The following is a 24978-nucleotide window of genomic DNA, read 5'->3' as shown; positions in this document are numbered from 1 at the left end:
GAAAGACGTTGAGGAGGACAGAACTAAAGAAACTGATGGGGCCTGAGGGCGAAAATGGTGGACAGAGATGGCTTAGACTTCAAGACTTGATTTGTAGCTATGTTCTACCAGCCTCCAGCTGTCTATGCGTTGGCCTCACGCATGTCCCAAACGTGGTCCCACACATGTTTACACATTGGTCCCACATATGCTGAGAGTAATTACTTTCTATTCATCAGAGGTCAGAATAGAATAAAGAATGTTTATGTCATAGTATGACTTTTTAGGTGATTTTGAAAAGCAAGAATATGAATTCTATGAAAAAAATCTATTAGGAAATTATGGAAATGACAGAATGCAGAGGTATTTGGAAATAGAAAAAAAATGGGTGAGACAGTAAATACTTACAAAAAAAGTTATTGAATGTCTGCTCAGCCCTGGAAAGGCACTGATGAACAATCACTCTACCTTCTTGGCGTTTAGTGAGAAAATCATACCAACCAAATAGTTGGACAGGGATTAATTAATTTCTGTTTTAAATTTACTCTGAAGGAGAAGTCCAGAGTACTGTATGAGTGTGCAACCAGAGGGCACAAACTGGGCTAGGGGAGGGGTGTCAGAAACAGCTTCTCCAAGACAGTGACATTAAACAGACCAGAAGAGCAAGGAGGATTTGGTGGAAAAGGCCCTGGGAGCAGTGGAACACACACACAGGTGTGAAGGATGCTCCTGTTCCACTGATGGGATGATACTTGTGGAGCACTCTTTTACTTTTAAACAATTAGACACCCAGAAGAAGCAAGAAGGATTGCAGGGAAACGATTGGTTACAGCTCAGGAAAAAAGAGACTGAGAAAACAGAATTTGGGGAAGTCAAGATGATAGTGAATTTGAAATAGGGGAGAAGAGTTGATAATAGCATAGAAAATGTTATTAGAGCAGAGATATACTTAATGTATTTTTTGGTACAGTTCTTTTTGTGATTTTTTACCAACAACTTCTGCCCCCAACACGTCTAGTGAACATTTTATAATTTTTCAAAAAGCTGTCTTTATTTTGCTTTAAATTAAAACAAATGCACACTCCTCAAAAATATTTCGGAAGAGCAAATAATGCAGTTGACTCTTGCTGCTAAGCTAGGTGTTAGTTTGCTATGAGCACCAAATGAGATGACATTTGTGAAACTGCCCTGATACGTAATCAAATATTAGTTTAATTCAAATTGAATTTACTGATTCATTTGTCTCCATTATTAAAACAATTTGTGTTCTTCACCTTACTCCTGCGGGTCCTCCTGTAATGACTAGATTAAGTGGTCCAAAGAAAATGACTGCATTTCTGTGCATGCTGATTGTCTTTGGCATTCTGCGACCTGACTGCTTAACAGTGGAAGTGATTTGGGGACATGGAAAAAGCTGACATTGTGATCTTCTCACTCCTCCTTCTCTAGCCTGCTAAAGCTGTAAGTAAACAGGTGTGTGGTCAGGTCTTGTCAACAAAGTCTGTGGGAAGCATCTTCTTTTCTTATGGAAGCTACATGTCTTCTTCTCATCCTTTATTATGTTTAATTCTGAAATGGTTGGCAAATACCACTATGGCTTTTCTGTCACATCTGGAAGATGTGTAGTCTTATTTTATGAGAAGGAGTAAAAGGATGGTGGGTGGAGTAGCCTGGTTGTAATTATAGTGTACGTTTATTTGGAAAGACTAGCATATTAGTATGCAGTGGCTAGATTAATTAAACTCAGCTGGCATAATTCAATATGGTTAGTTCCTGTAAAAGCAAACTGTCTTTAAACTCTTGAGGTTTGCTATAAAGCTTATGATGAGAGCAACATTTTGAATGTCTCTTCCTCCCATATGAATTACAAAGGCACTTAAAAGCTGTCCTTTTAAAAATTTGTTTCCCTTCTCTCCCCACCCCCACCCCCCACCACACACACACACACACACACACACACACACACACACACACACACAAAACCCTTATCTACTTGTTAACAAAATAAATTCTGGGATCTTTTTTTAGGAAGATGAGGGCTTTTTTAACTAACATATTTTGTGAACCATAATTTCCATGAAGTTGTTTATAATTTTGAGTTTCTACACATCAAGTAGTGTGAGGTATCCATGGAAACTGTCTAGCCTATATTCAGTGCACTGGACCGCCTTCCCACACAGGTCAAGACTCAAACAGTTCCAGATACTAGCTTGATTTATTGTGCCCTAAACATTAGACAGTTTTAAAAGGAAATTGGCTCCTAATTGACACATACAATTTCATGTTTAATTAGCAATTTGAGCCTGTCTACATTTTACTAACAGATGTAACATTCAAAACGTGCCATTCTAATATATCTGTTGCACAGATGCACCTAAATGCAGAACTTTATGAAATAGCAGCTCAGCTGCTTAGCAAAAATTTGGACAGAACTGACATTATTTTCCTTAAGAGATGTACTTTAATGTTATTTAAGGAGTGATTTTCCTTAACCAATCTAATGGATTTATTTTATATTTTGGTAACAGCTTTATTGAGATATTCACATACTATAAAATTCACCCTACAAAAGTGTACAATTTAGTGTTTTTTGGTTTATTTACAGATTTACAACCAATACTGCTGTTTAATTTTAGAACATTTTCATCACCCCTAAAAGAAACCCCATGCCTCTTAGCAGTCACTCTTCATTCTTCCCAGCCCCAGCCCTTGGCTATCTATTTTCTGTCTCTTTTTGTCTCTATGAATTTGCCTCTTCTGGACATTTCATATAAATGGAATCATACAATATGTGGTCTTTTGTGACTGCCTCCCTTCACTTGGCATAATGTTTTCAAGGCTCATACATGTTCTAGCAGGTGTCAGCACTTCAGTCCCATTTTATTGCCAAATAATATTCTATTATGTGCATATACCACATTGTGTTTATCCAGTCATCATTTGGTGGACATTTGGATTGTCTCTACTATTATGGATCATGCCACAATGAACATTCTGTACAAGTTCTTGTGTGGACCTCTGTTTTAATTTCTTTAGGGTAAATACTTAGGAGTGGAATTGCCGGAATGTATGGTAACTCTACGTTTAATTTTTTGGAACTGCCAAGTGGCTGCACCATTTTCTATTCCCATTAGCAGTGTATGAGGGTCCCAATTTCTCCACATCCTCACCAACATGTGTTATTGTTCAGATCACAATGTCAGCTTTTTCCGTGTCCCCAGATCACTTATTTTAGCCATTCTAGTGGGTGTGAGATGGTATCAAGGGGCAACTTTTTTTAAAAGGAGAGAAATTTAATATTGTCCATGGTTCATAAATTAGTTCAATGTGTGTCTCTTACTTGTTTGCTTTTCCATTACTCTTGATTTGTAAGATAAATATACCTCTCATCTCTATCAATATTGTCACTTTCCTTACTAATTTTAATGTAGGGGCCTATGATATCAAAATTTACAGTAGTGAATTGGGCTACATATAGAAAATGTATCATGAAAAAGGGAAAACACTGAAATAACTGTTCGATTGCAAAGGTTAAATCTCTAAATTTCTGTATGTTTTCATCTTACTTGACTTTAACTAGAAAACAGGTATAATAGTGATGCCACATACTGGGAAGCAATGAGTATTTGATACAATGCCAGATTAAAAGGTGTACTTATTTTTTCGTTCAATATAGTTCATCAATCATAAAATACCATCAATCATAAATAAGGCATACCATAATTTTATGTATCCCTAAAAATAAATAAATGCTGCCAATTAAACTAAAGCACACCATGGATTTTAAAGTGACCTGTAATTTAGAAATGTTAAAACATGCAGGAGAGAAATGGGTGTGTTAGAATCAATGAAATAAAGCAGAAAAGAGATGTGCTTGCTCAGTGTTTTTTGAAGGCAACCCAGTCATTTATGCTTACCAACACCCAGGGGAGATAGCAAGAATCTTCATACTTCAAAGACCTAATTCATTTTACAAATATGCATCAATATCCATGAGTACAAAAATAGATATACGTATATATTACACACATACACACTGACATACACACACACACACACACACACACACACACAGAGACAGAGAGAGAAGAGTAGAGAGATATTCATTGACTCATTCTTCCACACCTTAGGAGTATTAGATCAGCATCAGCAACCTGTAGTTCACTGAAATGATTCTTCCTCTCTTCAATTCACTGATTCAGAAAAGCTGGTTTACCTCAAATAATGTTTATTAAATACTTTAAGCTTTCTTTTCAGCCTGAGAATGTTTCATCTTGTTTTTTCCAGAAGCTAATTTCAATAGGTGAATCACAAACCTGTGAAAATCCACATTTATAATTCAGAGGCTAGCACCACAGTACTACCAAGCGGCTATGCTTCCTTACCAGCAAATGTGCTTTGCATGTTATTAAAAATAAACGTTTACTTTCTTAGTGCCCCGGATTATAGTTACAGTTCTAAATGCATTAAAGTAGTGAAATATCTATCACGGTGTATGCCACAGGGAATCAAACTGATTTCCAAAATAACATTCATAAGACCATAATAAGTCTAATAAAGCCTTTCTTAAAAAGACCCTTTCTAAGGTAAGCATTTGGTACTTGGCCCCTTTAATTAGCTCAGGCATCTCTAGGTTTGTTTGAACTGAGACCTCATTTTCTTTTAGTAATAATTGTGTTACTGCTTTGAAATGTTGATGAAAATTTAAAGGATTTCTATTTTTCATTAGTTCTAAATCATTGTCTCATAGTTTTCTCTCTGCAAAATTCTTTGAAAATTGTGGTTTACATGTAGAACACAATTAGGAGCTCATGGGAGCAGATAATTGCTCATATTAAAGTAGGCCAAATATGTGGCCTCCTGGACAAATAGATGCAAGAAATGATTAAGATTAGATTTATATAATTTTTAATGTAGCAATGAACACTAAAGAAATGAAATGATTTATTTCATGAGGAAAAATGAGGTAAAAGAATTATCTTTATCTTCTATTATAAATTATGACACATTCAAACATATTTTAAAAGAGAATAGTGAATTTGTATCTCTTCAAATTGACATATTCACATAATATTAGGAATTATGTTGCTGAGTCAGATCCTTGTATGACGTGCAGCCTTAAGGTGGTTTCTTTGTTTTTTAGTAAAATACGAAAATCCTATTGCAGTAGACATATTGTAGCAGGGGGATAACCTGGACTGGACTTTTGGGATATTAGTGTGTTCTCTTGCATTAGGCTACATTTGTGATCATTAATTAGTATTTTACCTTCTAATCTTTCAGGCTAAATATTGAAATTGTCTGTCTTTTAAGTTTTATAACATTTTGCTTGCTGGATTTCAACACAATTTCCTTCTTTCAGCCGACCATAGGTAATGAGTTTTGTGTGCTAATTTTTTTTTTTTTTTTTTTTTTTTGAGACAGGATTCCTACTCCCAGGCTGGACAGGGTCTCCCAGGCTGGAGTGCAGTGTGCAATCATGCCTCACTGCAGCCTTGATTTCCCAGGCTCAAGCGATCCTCCCACCTCAGCCTCCTAGTAGTTGGGACCACAGGCGTATGTCACCACACCCAGATTATTTTCCTATTTTTATTAGAGATGAAGTCTTGCTAAGTTTCCCAGGCCAGTCGTAAACTCCTGAGCTCAAGTGATCCTCCTGCCTGGGCCTCCTGAGTAACTGGGACCATAGGTGTATGTTATCACACCAGGCTAATTTTTTTTTTTTTAATTTGGTAGAGAAGAGGTCTCCCTATATTGCCTAGGCTGGTCTTGAACTCCTGGGCTCAAGAAATCCTTCTGCCTTGGCCTCCTAAAGTGCTGGGATTACAGGCATGAGCCAGTAATACAATGTAATATTTACATATTAAGTATTTTTAGTACAAGGCTGGGCATCTTGTATTTTTAGTACTATGCTAAATATTTGAATATTTTTAGTACAAGGCTGAGTGCCTTGTAGTTTTAGTATTAATACAAGGCACCCAGCCTTGTACTAAAAATATGTAATATGCAAGTAACATTGAATAAATCTCAAATGTTTTCCAAAGTTATCAGACATGATATACAACAAATATCAGCCATCCTTGAATAGGTTGGCACTCAGCATCAAATTTTGTTGATAAATTGAGTGATCTCTCATTCAAAATCATTGATTCATACATTCAGTCAAAAATATTTATTGAGTACTTAGTTTGCTAGCTTTGGGGCTAGGTGTTGGAATCAATGGTCAGCCAAAAAGGAAAAAAAGAAAGGTATAGTTCCTGTCCTCATGGTACTTATAATCTAATAGAGGGTGATAGAAATCATTGAAAGATTGGTATAAATAAATATACAGCTAAAGCACATGGTGATATACATGCTATTATAAGAGGACTTAATGAGAATTGACTTGGTGCGGTTAGAGAGGATGACTCTGAGGAAGATATGGTTGAGCTGAGATCTAAAGGTTAAGTAGGAATTAAGTAAAGCCAGGAGGACTCAGGGTCGGGGGACAGAAAGCATGGCTGGTGAAAGAGAACATCATCTGTTAATGTCTTGAAGCAGAAGGGAGCATGATAAGACACTAAGAAGCTGTGTGGCAGAAGGAAGATGTGGATTGTTCAGAAGACAATGAGACAGTGGCTCAAATCTGTAGGTGTTGCATTGTGTATCATCCCCTAAAGTAATGCTATGGATTTTAGCCAGGATTCAAAGAGAGCTGGAAAGTAACAGAACATCCTATGTAGGAAGCTGTCATCATGATGTCTAATAGTTCTTGAGCATTTTCTTTTCCTATAATATTGAATTTTTATGAAGAAATATATACAACATAAATTTTAGCTATAAAGCATTAAATATAATAAAGACTCATGACCTCAGCCAAATGAAGAATGAGAACATTACCTGTAACTTGTGTCTACATATGTGTTCTGGCCTCCCCTTCCAGAGGTAGCTCACGTTTTGAATACCATACTGCATATCTTCTAGGACTTCCCTTTTTTTCCCTGTCATCATTCTATTTCTAACATTCATGAAAGTAGTTGTGTGTTACGGTGAGGCTCTGTTTAATCCATGTTTACTACTCTATAATATTCCAGTTTGGGAATATTCTATAATTTATTTGTCAATTTTCCTGTCACTTGTTATTTGGGTTGATTCCAGGTGATGTTTTGCTTGTTGTTTGTTTTGCTATTGCTATCATGCAGATATAAATGTCTAGGATGGGATACTATTTGTTTCCTTGAGCATGTTTCCCCTGGGAGTGAAATTGGTGGCTGAGAGCATACATTGATGTGATTTCCAAAGTAGTTGTACCAATTTGCATCCCACATTCTCTTGATCCATGTCCTCTTCAACACTTGATTTTGTAAGACTTCTTAATTTTTGTCAATTTATTGGGTATAAAATGGTGTCTCCACCATTTTATTAGCATTTCTTTGATTACCAATGAAGGTGAGCATTTTTTTTCATGTTTATTGGCTGTATGTGTTTCTTATATGAAATGCCAGTTCAGTTCTTCTGTCAGCTTTTCTACAAGATTCTTAATGATTTATAAACACTCTTTGTATAGTCATGTATTCTGAATACCAGTCATCTGTTGTTTTGCAAGCCTCTGAATGTTAAGTGAGCAATGACTTAGAGGGGCATCCTGTGGATATGGAGAGACATATGGATATGTGTTAGGAAGCACAGCCTTTCCACTAATGAACAATTGTTGCTGATAATAACTTTATAAATATACTTAATACATTTCTTGTGTTAAAACTAAATAGGAGGGAAAATAGCTCTTTTCCCACAGAACATGGAATATTGGTTTTCCATTTAACACTACTTCAAGGAAAGGCTGTCTAAATTATCTTCTGAAGAATTCTGCTTTGTACATGTAATAGGGGTGATTGAAACCTATCCACAAGTAAGTGTTATTTTTAAGAAATTGTAGCATACTGATCAAATTGGCTTCAAAGTAGTCTTTCACAAAATGAATGCTGTTTTTCATTTGCCTTCTCTTGAAAAATTATAGAAGGTTGGAGCTGGATATTGATGTCAGCTGTGAAAACCATGGCTGTCTTGTGGCACTGGGCATTGTAATGTCCTCTTTATGTCATCAATTGTACAAGTCTTCCCCAGATTGAAACTTATTAATGCTTTCCTTTAAACATAAAATAAAATATTACAGTAGCTGTTTATTCAGTACTTGCTATGGGCCAAGAACATAAAGCTTCTCCTATTTAATTTCCTAATCCTTAAATAGCCTTGCAGTGTAAATATTATTATCCACAGATGGGGAAACTGAGCCTTGGGGCAGTTAATTAAAATTCTTTAGATCACAAAGCCAATAAGTGGAAGAACCCAGACTCAAACCAATCACATTACTCTCTGAGACATCATTTCCACTAAGGTCCACTAACGTGCATTGTCATTGCCAATGCCGGGAGCATTCATAAACTGAACTTCTTATGTATTAAAGTGTGTATAGATATTATCTCATTTAATTCTCAAGGTTTCCCTTTGGAGTTGTGCCATGTAGAACTCCTCTATTCCATGGATTCCATAGACTGTCCTATCTGAGGAACTTCTAAATGTATTCTGAATTTATTAAAATTTAGCTTCATACATATTTTGTCAAATATTGCATTGATTGATAAGTAATACCAGTGCCAGTTTTCTTCCTCTCTTTTAAGAATAATCTATTTCTAGTATTTTGGGGAAAAATAATGAGGTCTTTGTCTCTCACTTAATCCGTGTGTGTGTGTGTGTGTGTGTGTGTGTGTTGGTGGGGGGCAGTGGGTCTTCTACCCCATTGTTTCCTTGCCAGCTCTTCGGAGCCATGCACTCGTCTCACTGCCCTGTGAACCAGCCACACTCTCTTGTTTGTGGGTCAGGAGGTCACAGCTTGAAGATCAAGGACTGCACTACTGTTGAGAATGCAAGAAACTCCATAGAAACAGGAAGGCCAATATAGAGCAGGATAGTGCTGGTGATATGTCCCCGTATGTATTGTTCCTCATCTCCTGTGACACCACCTTCCAAAGTTGTGCCTGTCTTCACTAAATGATTATGGAAATATAACAGACATCACAGAATCTGGGGATAGAACTTTAAAACAGCAAACTAGTTATGACTTTCCCCATTGTCTAGGAGGAAGACCTTTCTCCCACTGAAGTTCATATTGCTATTCAGATCAGTGTCAGTCTTCTCATTTATTTAAATCTCATTCCATCTCCTGCTCTTTCCTCTTGTACTCTCTGGGATGCACTGTAAGCTGAGTCCATTACTGAGTTACATACTTTGCCTTACCCCCCACTCAGCAACATAGTCTTTGCAGAAGCTTTGAAATTACCTCTTGAAGTTCCATTTTCCCCAGTCTTTGGTGAGCATGCACACGCCTGCACTGACAGCACTGATTTCATTCTTTTCAGTAACAAACAGTACTCTAGTAGGTTTTTATACTGTGTACCAGGGACTATGGGCTTCACTTTAATGATTGTGTGCCACTGTCTTTGAGTGTGATTTTATGAGGCACTGATTTATGTTATGTGAATACAGTCATTTTCCTTCATTAAGGAGATGGTATCTAAAGCTTGTCTGCTCACTTCTTGCTTACTTACCCTCCTCTCAGCTTAAAGTCAGAAGACTGCTTATTCTGAAAACTAAACAATTACAAGCAGTAAAATCCATTCTTAAGTCCTATTGGTGAGGGATTGCATAAGTTCTCAAACTCTGAATTTCAGCAAACCCTGTATTTAAAATGGTTGAGGTAGAAGGGTCTGTTGGGTTTCATGTTAGTTAGTATGCTTCCTGGAATTCAAATACTGGGAGGTTTTAATTAATGCCCCAAGGAAAACAAATACAGTTTGCTTTATTCCTTGCTATCTATGGAGTATAGAATCATCTCCTAACAAAACCTTCTCAGCAACCCTGTTTGTCTTGAGGCTAGGATATTTGATAAACTCAGAGTGGTTATTGAAGTCACTCTTTCATTCAGCAGCAGCATCAAATATTTAAACCTCATCATTTACTGTTTAAACATTTAATTTTCACCAATGGAATCAAATGGTCTGGTGAGGATTATTTATATTGGAAAACAGTGCCATATGTTTCAACTCCACATATCTGAAAATTCTTTCAGCATATGCTGCAGAATTGCTTTTTGCATCCACTTTTCTACTTCCTGACACATGGTAGAAATGTAATAAATGTCTTTACAATCAATAAAAACAAGGAAAGAAGAAATTTGGAAGTAGGTTGCCATTATGGTGAATGAATATTTGGATCTAACATTTTCCACAGTCTTGTTTTTTCACAAGGCTCTTTACTAGAATCATTGAGACATCATATATTTTTCAAGATTGTAATGAGTATGTCATTGTGTTGATGAGAAGAGCATCTTCTGAGTGCACATAACTAGTCCTGTTGAAATTTGTGTTTCCTGTCTTAAGAAAGCTAGGCAAAGGCAACAGGGAGAGAAATTGACTTACAACTTCTTGGACAGGGAGACTAAGATGTTCAAATGATTAAACAGCTAGATTATAGGAGATTGACCATATTCTCCCGAAGGAGTTATCTGAAAATATAGTTGATTATAACGATGGACAGAATATCACTCCACAAAGATACAGTTGTTACATTAATGTATTGAAATGAGAAATGTACCTTTTTACCCCTGGCAATTCAAATGAGGAAAAATACCTAATCAGACGTATTGTTACTAAGCCAAAAGGTTACAGAAACACAAATTATGCTAATACCAAGTTTAATGTTAAAATGGGACTATGGGGAGACTAACAGGTACCTATCATCACCTCCTTGTAGATCTTGTCTCAGCTGATTGGTAGCTTATCATGAATCTTTGAGGATAAGTCTTAAATTGGGCATCCTTAGTTTGCAGTTTTTATTACATTTTGAATTTCTAGTTGAGGACTTAGTTTTCTAGGATGCTGGTTGTGTTTTTTCATGATATCTTGATTATATTTTACATAATGAAAAAATATTACTTTAGTAAATTGTTTTTCTAAGGGGATGGGAATGAATGTGGGTAGCTATACCTCAAATATCACACATCCTTGAAGTCTTCATTCCTAAGGCTATTAACTCCCCATTAAGGCAAACAGAGTTGTGCTTTCTCAAAAATGAAACAAAATTTTAGTCCTTTCTAGGATGCATAAATTTGATTATCCTTTCTATCCATGAAAGGCAATGATTTCTGAACTTTTTAATTTTTGATGCATTGGACTCGGTGTAACAGGGAGTGGGTGGGAAAAACCCAATCCTCCCAGATATTCACAAACCATCAGCAGGACTTCTCTGGCCACAAAAGATGTCTTTTTATGGAGATATTTTGTTGTAATTTCAGAAGGTGGTTGTTAGTTTTCTTGGCTACATTACATTTAGCACATCTGGGATGTGTTCACATGAAGACATTGGCTAAAAGTAGTGTCTTGTGGCCTGGAATTGACTCTGATATTGAAAAGGCTGTAAAGGACATTCCTTGCTTGTCCTCACTCAGCAAAGAGACCTTCCATGGGAGGTGCATCAGGAATGCATTTTGGATTTGAAGAACCAGCACAGAAGTCAAACTTCTCAACTGTGGTGAAATTCTTTTCATAATGGCCTAATGTGCTTTTAGTTCTTCCCTCATTTCTGCCATGGCAATTATAGCTCTGAGACAATTATTTGCAACCCTGGCACCAGAATTTCTGACAATGATTCTGCAGTTACTTTTGAATTAAAGTAATTTGGGGAAATGACTCACATTTAAGCTACCACCACTGCACAGATAGTGCAAACTATCAAGAATGCCCCAAAAGCAAATTGGGACACAGTACATGTCTCTCACCGCTTAAGTCAGAACTGGATAGTTGACAAGAGAAGTCAGTTTCTGCTGAACTTGTGATGTAGCAATATCTGAATTTTTTTATTCTTAAATGAAGATTACTAAGACATAACAGAATCTTGTTCTGTTTATACCTATTCATTAATCATTTTTAGCACCAGAGTTTGTCTTAGCACAAAACTCTGAAGTTTGAACCAAGACAGAATTTGTTCCAACTTTAGTTGAAGTTGTAAGGGTACATTTTATATAGTGAAGTATATTCATGCTTTAGGGTGACTTTGCCATGTTAGCTAATAAGTATATAATTCTAAGGACTGATTAATAGTTAAAAAGCTAGGATTTAGGGGCAGTTTATCATTTATTATTTTTCACATTTTCTTAATATACTGGAAATTTATTTCACTTTTGTGGGAAGGTTTGGTATAACATAAGAAAGTGTCTGCAAAAGCACTTTGCAAGTTGTAGACTGTTCCCATGATCTGGATAATATTAATACTAGCAGGGATAACATCAACAATGTACAACTTTTATAGCACTTACTATGTGTTTGGAACTGTTCCAAGTACTTTCAGTAAATTTTAACTATTTAATTATCACAGAAATCCTCTGAGAGTAGATATTAACAATTTCATTTGACAATTGAGGGACTGAGGCCCAGAGTGATGAAGTAACTTGTTTAAGATCCCCAGTTAGTATATGGCATAGAGGGGATTTAAACCCAGGCAGAGTGGCTTCAGAGTTGACAACAGAAAAATAGGAAGCCCCTGCCTTTTCTATGGCAGTCTGAATATTACATGGTGAGGAAATAGATGCTTCTAATGGGGCTATAATTGAATAAGAAGAGTGTTACTCGTTTGATTTTGATGTCTATGAATCTGATAGGCACTGTGATTATATCTGCCGAAGAGAATTTAAAAATAATCACAAATATGATGCTTATTTTTATTTGGTGTGACATAATTCTACTCTTTGGTTGGTTTTCAATAGTTTCATTATTCTAGCAGTATAAACGGCATTTTAAAAAGTAAATGGTAAAAAAGTTTTCTATTTCATCTTTAAAAAAATTTATTTGTTTATCTGTTGGTTGGGTTCTTGTAGCAGTGTGATAAATGGTGTGATTAAAAGATTCTTCCAGGGCCAGGTTCATGTCTGTAATCCCAGAACTTTGGGAGGCCAAGGTGAGAGGGTTGCTTGAGGCCAGGAGTGTGAGGTTGCAATGAGCTATGATTGTGCCACTGTACTCCAGCCTGGGCAACACAACAAGACCCTATCTCTAAATAATAATAGAAATAATAATACATAAAAGGTTCTTGCAGAGACTAAAAGGGGAGCTAGTTCTCAAGGGTTCAGTCCTCTTCACAATAGGTTCCCTTTCAGACAGTGATGCTGACTTGTGCAATTTCAAGAAAAAGTCCTGGATTTTCACACTGTCAGCTTTAGTTATTACAGGTGGGCCAACTGTCTTCTACAGGGTTAGAGTGAGTGGTCTGTAGAGGTGAGATCCATGAATAGTACAACAAACTGAGCTACTCTTTAAAAAAATGAGTGCTTCAGTTAATGTGACCTCATATTTTTCTCCCCAACTTATAACTTCAACCCTGTAGTTTATGGGTCTAAAAGATTTTTCATAGCATCTCCTTCTACTATAATGAGAGTCGCAGTAATTACCCAAAGGCGTTGACTCCAAAGAAAAGCTTTGTTTTGTTTTTCCTTTCCTTTTGGAAGAAATTTTCTTTGGCCAGGTGAATTTAATTCAACTCAAAGGACTTTCTCTTAAAAAAAGAAACAGTAAGGACGATTTTCATGTCTTATGTTTCTTCTAGGTGCTGCACTTAAGTGTTATCAGGAATAGTAAATAGTAGAGTTGTATTCCTTGGTAGAATAAGCTGTTATACTTCACTGTTTCTTTTGAGACTAGTCACCACCTTTACTTACTACACCCCATTATGAAGAGGTCTTAAAGAAAGAAAACATGAAATAGGAAGCAATAATAACTGTCTATGTTCTAAGAATTTAAGTACCAATAAATAAAAGTTGTTACAAGGATAAACAAACTCCAGACACTCTGAGTGTCTATTAGAATTCTTGGCACTGACCGGGCACGGTGGCTCATGCCTGTAATCCCAGCACTTTGGGAGGCTGAGGCCGGCAGATTGCCTGAGGTCAGGAGTTCGAGACCAGCTCTGGCCAACATGGTGAAATCCAGTCTGTACTAAAAATACAAAAAACAAAACAAAACAAACAAAAAAAATTAGCCAGGCGTGGTGGTGTGTGCCTGTAATCCCAGCTACTCGGGAGGCTGAGGCAGGGGAATTGCTTGAACCAGGGAGGTGGAGGTTGCAGTGAGCTGAGATTGTACCACTGCACTCCAGCCTGGGCAACAGAGTGAGACTCCGTTTCAAAAAAAAAAAAAAAAAAAATTCTTGGCACTATGACATTTAGGACATGTTAGTTGAGTGTTAACTGTGCACAAGGCAGGTCTGTCTGATGATCACATAAGTTAGTAGACAGGCTATGCCATGTAGAGCCTCCTCAGAGTCGACAGCTCCTCTTATGCTTCCAGAATATTGCATTCATCTCATTGTAACTCTTGAGGGTGGGTTATATCTTATTGACTTAAAATGGTGCCTAAAACAATTGAATATCATAGGAGTAAAGGTAAGACATAGAAGGCTTTGTGGGCACGGTGGCTCATGCCTGTAATCCCAGCACTTTGGGAGGCCGAGGCAGGCGGATCAGGAGGTCAGGAGATCGAGACCATCCTGGCCAACACGGTGAAACCACGTCTCTACTAAAAATACAAAAAAATTAGCTGGGTGTGGTGGCGGGCACCTGTTGTCCCAGCTACTCTGGAGGCTGAGGCAGGAGAATGGCATGAACCCAGGAGGCGGAGCTTGCAGTGAGCCGAGATTGTGCCACTGCACTCCAGCCTGGGCCACAGAGCGAGACTCCGTCTCAAAAAAAAAAAAAAAAGAGAGAGAAATGATCACATGGTTCAATTTGGTTAAAATATAATGTAGGAAGACTCTATTGGAAGCTACAGCTGAAAGGTAGAATGGGCAGGATTTCATGTCATTTGACATTTCAAATCATTATCAAGTTGGGGTGGGGGCGGGTAGTAGGTGATCCCTTAAATTTGGAGCTTAAATGATGAAAATGGGTGTGATCTTCTTTTTTTTTTTTTTGAGATGGAGTCTCGCTCTGTCGCCCAGGCTGGAGTGCAGTGTCACAATCTCGGCTCACTGCAAGCTCCGCTTCCTGGGTTCACGCCATTCTCCTGCCTCAGCCTCCCAAGTAGCTGGGACTACAGGCGCCCACCACCACGCCTGGCTAATTTTTTCGTATTTTTAGTACAGACGGGGTTTCACTGTGTTAGCCAGGATAGTCTCTATCTCCTGACCTCGTGATCTGCCCGCCTCGGCCTCCCAAAGTGCTGGGATTATGAGAATGGGTGTGATCTTCTTAAAAGAAATTAAAATTAAGGGGAAAACATTTGAAAGAGAAGGAATATTCTGTTCTGAAAAATTGAGTTTGAGATGCCAGTGGAACCTCAAGACACAGGTAAGGAAATCTAAGTGGAAACAGAATAAGAAGCTTAGGAAAGCAAGGTTCAGGCTGGAGGAAACAGATTTGGCAGGCAGACCAGCAGAAGTGATTGTGCAACTAAGGAGAAGATGAAATTGCCAGCCAGGAGAGGAGCACAACAAAAGAACTGAGGATAATACCTAAAGAACTTGAGAAAGAATAGCCAAAATATGAGAAAGTGAATGAGCAATGAGAGCTACATGTCACAGCATGAAGGTTGGGTGCAGCGGGACATGAAGAAATGGCTGGATTTTGTAGCCAAGAGTTGAATCAGGTGTTGCTCAATCACCTGTTAACTGCATGATCTGCAGCCAATTACTTAAGCTCTTGGGCCACAGTTTCCTTACCTGCAAGATGGAAATAACACCTCTGTAGTTATGTTAATTTAAATAGTTTAAACAAGTATTCCTTAAATAATGCTTTTAAATCACTCTTTTTATTAAAATAATAATCACCAATAAAAGATTTGGAGTTATCTGTGTTTCTTATGTACATGCAAGCAATTATATTACAAAATGTATTATTTTAAAAATGTCCTGTAGTCAGTACAAAATTGAAGACTTAGGAAGTTTTGGATTATGTAATTTGTAAAGGAATACACTGTCTTTTGCCCACAGTCTTCTGAATAAAGCATTTTGGAGTTTAAATATAATTCAGTCTGTTTTATCAAGGTTAATTTTTTGAGTACCTGCTCTGTTCCCCACTCTTTTTCTGGCTATTTTGACTAAATTCCTCTACCTAAGCCCTTTGCTTTCCAATTCTTAGGGTGTTTATTATTCTGAGTCTTCTTTAGGCAACTGATACTCCCCAACTCTGGAAACTTCAGCTTTTGAAGCAATCTTAAATTTTTAGCATTTGTGATTTTTCTAGTACATTCTATTGAACACACTCTTTTATTTTTGACAGAATAAAGTTATATTTAAAACTCTTTATTGAGTTATGATTAATTGACATTCAAAAAGCTGTACATATTTAATGTCTTCAACTTGATGAGTTTGGAGATAAGTATACACTGTGAAACCACCACCACAATATCTGCCATAAACCTGTTCGTCACCTCCAAAAAGCTTCTCCCACCCTCTTTATTTATTATGAGAAGCAAAATGATTATTTTATTGGGATGCATTTGTAAATTTTTGCCTCAGAAAATATTATCTGATAGAAAGTTAATTTTTCCATGCCTCAACATCATTCACAAAATGCATTTAAAGCATTTAACATACTGACATTTTTCACTTTTATTAGAAAAGGGAACAGTAACTCTTTGTTATCCTTCTTATTAGGGTAACACATTAAGAAAGATACTTCTGAATCGATACTTTAAAGGTGATTATAGTATTGGTGTGAATGGACACCTATCAGGAGCCTACTCCAAAACTGCACAGGTGGGAGGTAAGTCCTGTCATTTGTTTTCTCATTTTAGGATTCTCATGATACATCTTCATGTCAGTGTTACTCTAGTATTTTACTGAAATGGCAGATATATAAAAGAGTCATTTAAAAATCACTGTTAAAAACTTTCATACAATTTGGGGCTCATAAAACAACAGATTTGAACATCAGAATTGATTTTGCTTTTTGACCTTGGAAAAATAGTTAAACTAAGTTATAATCTCTTAATGTATAAATTAAGGACAAAATAAAGCTAGTTTTCTCTTTCTGTTTTTAAGAAAAACATTTAATCACATGTGTCAAACATTTAATAAAGAGTTCTATTTTTACAAACTTTGATATTTTTAAACTCAAGCTTTTTTTTTTTTTTTTTTTTTTTTCTGAGGCAGAGTCTCACTCTGTCACCCAGCCCAGAGTGCAGTGGCGCAATCTTGGCTCACTGCAACCTCTGCCTCTGAGGTTCAAGCAATTCTCCTGCCTCAGCCTCCCAAGTAGCTGTGATTACAGTCATGTGCCACCACGCCTGGCTAATTTTTGTATTTTTAGTAGAATTGGGGTTTCACTCTGTTGGCCAGGCTGGTCTCAGACTCCTGACCTCAAGTGATCTGCCTGCCTTAGCTTCCCAAAGTGCTGGGATTACAGGCGTGAGCCACCATGCCCAGCCTCAAGCTTCTATTATATTTAACTTTGTAGGGAAAAAATCTCAATGATTAATATTTTTATTAAAATAATAAAATTTAAGAATTTGAAAACCTTACATATTAATAATGTCTACAATTAAGGTTTATTTATTTATTTTTCCCAATCACAGGAAGCTTTTCTGGACAAGATTCAGATAAGATGGGGATATCAATGTCAGACATTCAGTGTCTGCTGGATAAAGAAGGTGCATCAGAACTTGTCATCGATGTTATAGTGAACACCAAAAATGACAGAATTTTTTCAGAAGGCATTTTCCTCGGCATTGCCTTGCTTGAAGGAGGAAATACACAAACACAGGTACTTGTTCATCAATCATGGGGATTACATTTATTATTGGTATTTCTTGTTTACTTGTCACAGAAACCAAGGAAAAGTAATGTGTTTCTTTTAGCTCTTATTACTATCTAAAAAAAAAAAAATCCATGTATCACACTTTTCTTAAATTTGTTTGCTGTAGAAACTACAGAGCTTCACAATTTATTCAGTCAAGCAGAACATTCCTCTGAAACTTCCTTCTGACATTATTCCAGGAATTCCACAACAGTGAGCAATATGCTCACCTGCACACAGGAGATTAGGCCACTATTTCCAGAAGGCACATGTTTTCTTTTGAAACTTCTGCCAAGTGGCCCGTAGGGTTGACGACACCCAAAAGCAAAACATGCTGCATGAGCCCGAGTGCTGGGGAGTGTTCCCAGATGACAGACATTGTCCTCCAGTCTTTTTTTTTCATTTATCATTATGGTTAAATAATAATAATTGTACATATTTATAGGGTACAGTGTGATATTTTGATACATGTGTACAATATGTAATGATCAAATCAAGGTAATTAGCACATCTTTCACCTCAAATGTTTATCATTTCTTTGTGTTGGGAACACTCAAAATTCACTTTTCTAGCTGTTTGAAAATATACAATAAATGGTTAATTATGGCCACCCTACTGAGGATTAGAACACAGGAATTTATTCCTCCTATGTAGCTGTCTGTTTTGCTGCTCGGTAGCCTGCTCTTTCTAGGTTTGCCTTGGTCAGTAAAGAAAACTGTCTACTTACTACTAAGTATATAATTAGAAATTCCAAAAGCCATTTTCTCGACTCAAGGCCAGCAGAAGCCATGTCTAATTTGAAACTGGGATATTGTGCTTCATTTAACCATCAAATACATTGAACAATAGGAACATTACCATCTAACACATCCAATCACAGTGGCTTTAGGAGTAAAGGCCTCACGAGCAGCAAGTGGCATGGTGACAAAAACAACGCTAAATCAATAGTACTTAGTTGAGAAAAGAAAGTGTTTAAAATTCTCATGATGCTGTAGCTGCAGCATAGATTTCCTCTGAGGGAATTTGAGGAAGGAGGTGATGGAGGAAATTGAGTGAGTTTTTTTGGAAATTATCTTATCTGAACCAGGTATTCAGTTGGGACTTTTTAAAATTTAATTTAATTTTTAATTGACAAATAATCATTGTGTATATTTATGGGGTACAATCTGATGCTTTTATATATATATATATATATATATACACACACACACATACACACACACATATCGTGCAATGATCAAATCAGGATAATTAGCATATCCATCACCTCAAATATTTATCATTTACTTGTAGTGAGAGCATTTAAAATTCTTTCAGCTATTTGGAAATATATAGCATATTATTGTTATTAAGTATCATTGCCTTGCTTTACAGTAGAACACCAAAACTTACTCCTCCTGTTTAACTGAAACTGGACTCTTTGACCAATGTTCCACTGTCTACGTCTATGACTTCAACATTTTTAGATTCCACTATTTCACTTATCAATGGATGAATGATTTTTAAAAATGTGATATATAAACATGACAGAATACTATTCAGACTTAAACCAGGAAGTTCTGTCAATTGGGACTTTCTAGAGAAAGTGTCCAGTCAACCACATAACATTAGATAAAGGCTTGTTCAGTGGATAGAAGTGAAGGATTTTTTTTTTTTTTTTGGTGGGGGGCATCTCTAGAAGATATCCTCAGGATTACAGTCTTTTGTAGATTTCTGTTTCTAGGCCACTAAGGGTCACCAGATGGGATCATCCTTCATCCTTCGCACTTATTTATGCTTACTTATATCCTCATATTGCTGGGGAATAAGCCAGCTCCCATTGGAAACTGCACCTTCTACTTATAAATTCCTGGCAAGTTGTTCCCCTAGATCTCTTCACAACCGAAATATTTTTCAGTCCTTCTTTACATGATTTTCTGTGGCATTTGCCACTAGTGACTTTTTCTTTCTTCTTGAAACCTTTTCTGCCTGGGTCTTGGGATACCACCCTCTCCAGCTTGTCTTCTACCTCCTACCATTTCTTCTTAGCCTTCTGCAAAGGTTTTTCTCCCTCTACTTAACTCCCAAGTTTCTTTGGACTCTCTGTTCTCACTCTGTGTGTTCCCCACCCTGACCTCCTTCATTTCCACACCTTTAACGTTTACTGTGTTTGGATGCTTCTGAACTTACTGACGTTCTAGACTATGTATCCAGCTGTCTTCCAGAATATTTAGTGGGATGTGCACAAATGCCTTAAACTCAACATGTCTCACATGGAGTCTGCTGTTGCTCTCCATACACGCACTGCTCCTTTTGCCATTGCCTCTCTCAGTGACTGGCACTCCATCTACCCAGTTGTCTGACCAGAAAATGATAGTCATCCTTGACCTTAACTTGTCCACCCTTACTTACTCTCTTCCTGAACATCCCACTGATGACCAACTTCTGTGATTCTGCCCCCTTAATATCCCTCATATCCATACTCTATTATTTTCAATTCCTGCTTTTCCAGCTCTCACTACAGATTCTCCTTATCTTTTCCTAGACAGTGACAAGTAGTCTTCTAAGAGGTGTCCCTGCTTCCAGTTTTGCCCTTCTCCAAATCATTCTCCGTGTTGCCTTCAAAGATGCCTTTTTTTTTTTTTTTTTTTTTTTTTTGAGATGGAGTCTTGCTCTGTGGCCCAGGCTGGAGTGCAGTGGTGTAATCTCGGCTCACTGCAAACTCCGCCTCCTGGGTTCACGCCATTCTCCTTCCTCAGCCTCCCGAGTAGCTGGGACTACAGGTGCCCACCACCACGCCCGGCTAATTTTTTGTATTTTTAGTAGAGACGGGGTTTCACTGTGTTAGCCAGGATGGTCTTGATCTCCTGACCTCGTGATCCACCTGCCTCAGCCTCCCAAAGTGCTGGGATTACAGGTGTGAGCCACCACACCCAGCCAAAGATGCCTTTCCAAAAACATGCTATTCTTCTGCTTAAAATATGTCACCTGCCCTATAAAGACAAACTCCCTGCTACAGTCCATAAGATACTTCATGATCTCTTCAAATTTTCCAACTTTCCCTTGTTCTTCCACCCTCTTGCCTCCTCCATCCTTCCTCTTATGCATCAGCTACACTTAGCTCTTTGCCATTCCTCAAATGCGTTGTGTTATTTCTCATGCTGCTTTCTCCTCTTTGAGGATTCAACTCAATACATTTCTCCTAGAAGCCTAGGCTCCATATCTCACTGGGTAGAATTGATTACTGCTTACTATGTGCCCCTGTTATAACCTGTGGATGTCTTTAATGACATTTCTACCACTTTGTTTGCTTGTTTGTTTGTTCTTGAGATGGAGTTTCACTCTTGTCACCCAGGCTGGAGTGCAATGGCGCGATAGCGGCTCACTTCAACTTCTGCCTCCTGGGTTCAAGTGATTCTCCTGCTTCAGCCTCCTGAGTAGCTGGGATTACAGGCACCCACTACCATGCCTGACTAATTTTTTGTACTTTTAGTAGAGACAGGGTTTCATCCTGTGGCCAGGCTGGTCTCCAACTCCTGACCTCAGGTGATCCACCTGCCTCGGCCTCCCAAAGTGCTGGGATTACAGGCATGAGCCACTGCGCCCGGCCATTTCTGCCGCTTTATTTTGCCTCTTCATGTGTGCATCAGGCTTCGTCTAGTAAATTATAAGTCCTTAAAGGTTGAAACTACGTTTTATTCATCTTTGTACCCCTTGTGTCTGGACCAATCTTGGGGTTCAGTCAATGTGCAGAAGTGAATGGTTCTGTGAATGAATGGTCCTAATTAAATTCTTTCTTCTTCACAAAGTCTTTCCTAGCTGTCTGGGACATTTGGTGTCCATTCCCTTATCTCAGCTTCCATGCACTTGTTTCTTTAATACCACTTGGCATTTTGCATGTGCTACTTTGTTTGGTTGTAATTTGTATTATACCCTGCCTCTCCAATTGAATTTCAACTTCTTCAGTATAGGGGATCATATCCTATTCTTTATGTCTACAGTGCTTTATAGCCATTCAACAAATATTTTTTGATGAAACAGCATTAAATTACTCTTATATATGAAAACCTTCTTTTAAGATGGATTATGACAATAAGGACCAGCCTTCCTCTACTCGGATGTCTCACATTGTATAACCCAGATGGCAACTATGTTTTCCTGGCTCTAAGAGGTCTAGTTGAGATTAGCTCAAATCTTATTCCTTGCCCTATAGCAGTCTAAAGCGCACTCCTCCCCAAGACACTTGCCAGTTCCATGGGGGTTTTACATTCTCACTGTCTCCTTAGCCAAAAAAGTCTTGCTTTCTCAGCACATAAATTCTTAACACCCCTGCTTCTGTCATACTGAGAACTGCAGCCCCTTCCTTTATTTCTTCCTTTCTAACTACATTAAGTCAATGTGTGTATGTTCTATACTTTGTTAAAGATCAACTGAAGGAGAAGGTATAGGAGGTACTTATATTACAATTTCAAATGGAACCTAATGATAGCAATAAGGAAAATTATACCTACTAAATATAAGGCGCTGTTCTTTGTGATTTGTATGTATTAACTTGGCTAATATTCAAACAACCTGTGAGGTAAGTGGTATGTTATCCTACCTTACTGAAGAAGAAACTGAGATAGACCCAAGCTTACATCGCTAGTTAGAGATAGAGATAGGTTTCAAACCGATGCAGTCTGGCTCCAGATTCTGTGCTCTTAGATGCAATAAGCATCTCTTTTCTAGAAATAGCCATCTCCATCCTCACCACTAGGATATTTCACTTGAGGATTCTCCCTGCATCATGCTCTTGTCTTTCTCCATTCTCACTTCCCTTCCCTTCTCTGCCTCTTCCAGTCTCCTGTCACACATATCTGTTGATCCATCCCCCTTAGCTCCAAAACACTTGGAGTTTCTTTCCCCTTACACTCTATGCAGCTAATGGAGGTAGTTTCCTAAGCAAAAATCATGTCTTTAGTGAAAGGAATACTTATGCTACTTGTTGAGATTATATAAATATATATGAAACCTACTTTTCCTTTTTAAAATCGTGTTGTTCAGCATTGTAGATACCTCGTTCTTAAAAGGTGTTATCTATGTAAATAATCTAGCATTTTCATCGTAAGAGGTTGTTTTATACATTTAGTGATTTAGAGTCCGAAAATCTAGATTTAAATCCTAGCTCTACCCCTTACTAGTTATATAATGTTGGGCAAGTCACTCATCTTTACTAAACCTCATTTTATGAATCTATAAAATGGAACTAAGAGCACTCTATTCATCACACTGTTGAATTGAAAGTATCTATGAAGTAATATATATAGAAGAACTACATAAATTATGAAGCTTTGTTTTAATAGAGCCACAAAGTTCTCATAACTCCTCATTAATATACTGGAAACTCCTTCCACCTTCTAACCCCATTATATTGAAAAGATTTGGGCTTTATCATCTGCTTAATTCATGGGATTGTAGAGGTCTGTGGATGCTGCATTTGTTGTTTGAATTAACAAAACCAGCTTGACTGTTTTACTGTGGTTGCTATGGTTACCGTGACTTTTTGGCCTTCTTTCTTGAGGGTTGCTTGCCCTCTGTGTAGGAGCTTACCCTTGTAGGTGTGCAGCTGACATCTAAGGCTTCATAAGACACTCTGTGTATATACATTGCCCACAGAGAAAATTGCAGAGTAGGCAACCATTTCAAGACCTGATGTCATTAGAGTCTCAGTTACAGATCCCAAGACCTGTGGGTCATGTTTCCAGGAATTCCTAAAGGAAAGCATATCCTGGGGCAAACTCCCCCAAACTGGCTGTTTAAATGTTCTTATATTGGAGTAGGGCCAGTTCTGCTTGATCTGGAAATTATTTTTTCTTATGTTTTCTTCATACTATCTCTCCTCAAGCTTATATAACTCTTTTATTCACTACAGTTAGGGAGTTATTATCTTTATTAATTTACAAATGATATTTATCTTGTTTGTCTTGTATCTATCTCATAATCTTGGTAGTAATAAGTTATAATTCCCCCACCCACTTCAAATTCTGTCTTCTCTGGAATGTGTTATCTTTCCTACCTCCTACTGCTTCTCCTGGACACTTCCATAAGGCATTGAGCAGGCAAGAATTAGGGTAAATCTTCCCAAGGTTGAATATTTCCACATCTTACAAAGATACATTTTATCATACTTTTGTTTCTGAACCATTTCTACATCATTATTGACTATATTTATTTTAAGGTGGATTTGTCTGAGACCCCATGCAAAGCAATGTAGCTAATGAGGAACCAAAAGAAGTTGGTACCTGTTTATCAGTGAGATCCCATGAGTGAGGCTACCATGGTAACACTTTCCAAATTAAATGTGCTGTAATTTAGATAAAGAGAAAAATAGTCCTTTGTAACTTTCCATAAACTCATGTTTATACAGGATGATCTTTGGATTGATGGCTATTTTCCACTTTAGATTACAAACTCATGAGAACAAGGATTGTTGTTGGTTTCCATTTTTGTTCTATCCCTATTAACAGAGGGCTTGACGCATAGTAGGCACTCAATACATACATGTTGAATCAATGCATGACTTTATAATAATATAAAAATCAAAGAATTCTTTCCATACAACTTCTTACAATGTCCCTGTAAGTTTTTAAAAATATATAACCAGTAAGGATAAATTAAACAGCATCTGAAAATATGTTGGAGTTTAGTGGAAAATGCTAAGTAAATACCAACTATTATTAGTACACATTAAATAGTACAAGAAACTGGCAAAGGCTGTCAATTTATGAAATAGTAATGGGTGGTGCATTAAGTGTGTGCTTTTGCCTATAATGCTTATGTTTAGTTCAAGCATAAAAACACCATTTGTCTCCCCTTGGGTATTGATGTCTTAAAATATGTTTTCTTGCAGTATTCTTTCTACCAGCAGTTGCATGAACAAAAAAAGTCAGAAAAATTCTTTAAAGTTCTCTATGATCGAATGAAGGCTGCTCAGAAAGAAATAAGATCAACAGTGACAGTTAATACCATAGATTTAGGTAACAAAAAAAGGGACGATGACAATGAATTGATGACATCTGGTCCACGAATGAGAGGTAAAGAAGTATTTGAGTATTTGGGAGAACAGAGTGAGAGAAAAGAGGGGAATAGCGTTTAAATCTCATTAACATTTTTCGTCTCTCTTCTCTTGGTTTAATTATCCCCACTGTGGCTCTGATCATCCA

General features: G+C 37.3%; 1 protein-coding gene across 8 annotated transcripts in view, besides 1 other annotated feature; it reads left to right on the top strand.

Moving 5' to 3' along the window:
- ITPR2 (inositol 1,4,5-trisphosphate receptor type 2) overlaps positions 1–24978 on the top strand; it is a 497843-nt gene that overhangs the window by 321278 nt on the left and 151587 nt on the right. For 7 of the 8 annotated variants that reach the window (XR_001748686.3, XR_001748687.2, NM_001414174.1 and 4 more), the window contains 3 exons: positions 16657–16765; positions 17577–17764; positions 24666–24849. Coding sequence is in view for 6 of the 8 variants with exons in the window: in NM_001414174.1 (NP_001401103.1) it covers positions 16657–16765; positions 17577–17764; positions 24666–24849 (481 nt within the window). In the remaining 2 variants the exon portion in view is untranslated. Of the gene's footprint in view, positions 1–1285; positions 14204–16656; positions 16766–17576; positions 17765–24665; positions 24850–24978 lie in introns of those variants that run through there. The other variant, XM_017019269.3, reaches the window with a different exon arrangement.
- Positions 1182–1953: an enhancer, noted in NCBI's record as "OCT4-NANOG hESC enhancer chr12:26662897-26663668 (GRCh37/hg19 assembly coordinates)". NCBI's record gives its function as "activates a minimal SCP1, AML or CMV promoter by ChIP-STARR-seq in primed H9 embryonic stem cells {active_cell/tissue: H9 hESC(primed)}" and the evidence as "EXISTENCE:reporter gene assay evidence [ECO:0000049][PMID:30033119]".

This window comes from Homo sapiens, chromosome 12 (assembly GCF_000001405.40).
Source record: "Homo sapiens chromosome 12, GRCh38.p14 Primary Assembly".
In the NCBI taxonomy this organism is placed as follows: domain Eukaryota; kingdom Metazoa; phylum Chordata; class Mammalia; order Primates; family Hominidae; genus Homo; species Homo sapiens.
This window is presented reverse-complemented; position numbering and strand designations above follow the sequence as displayed.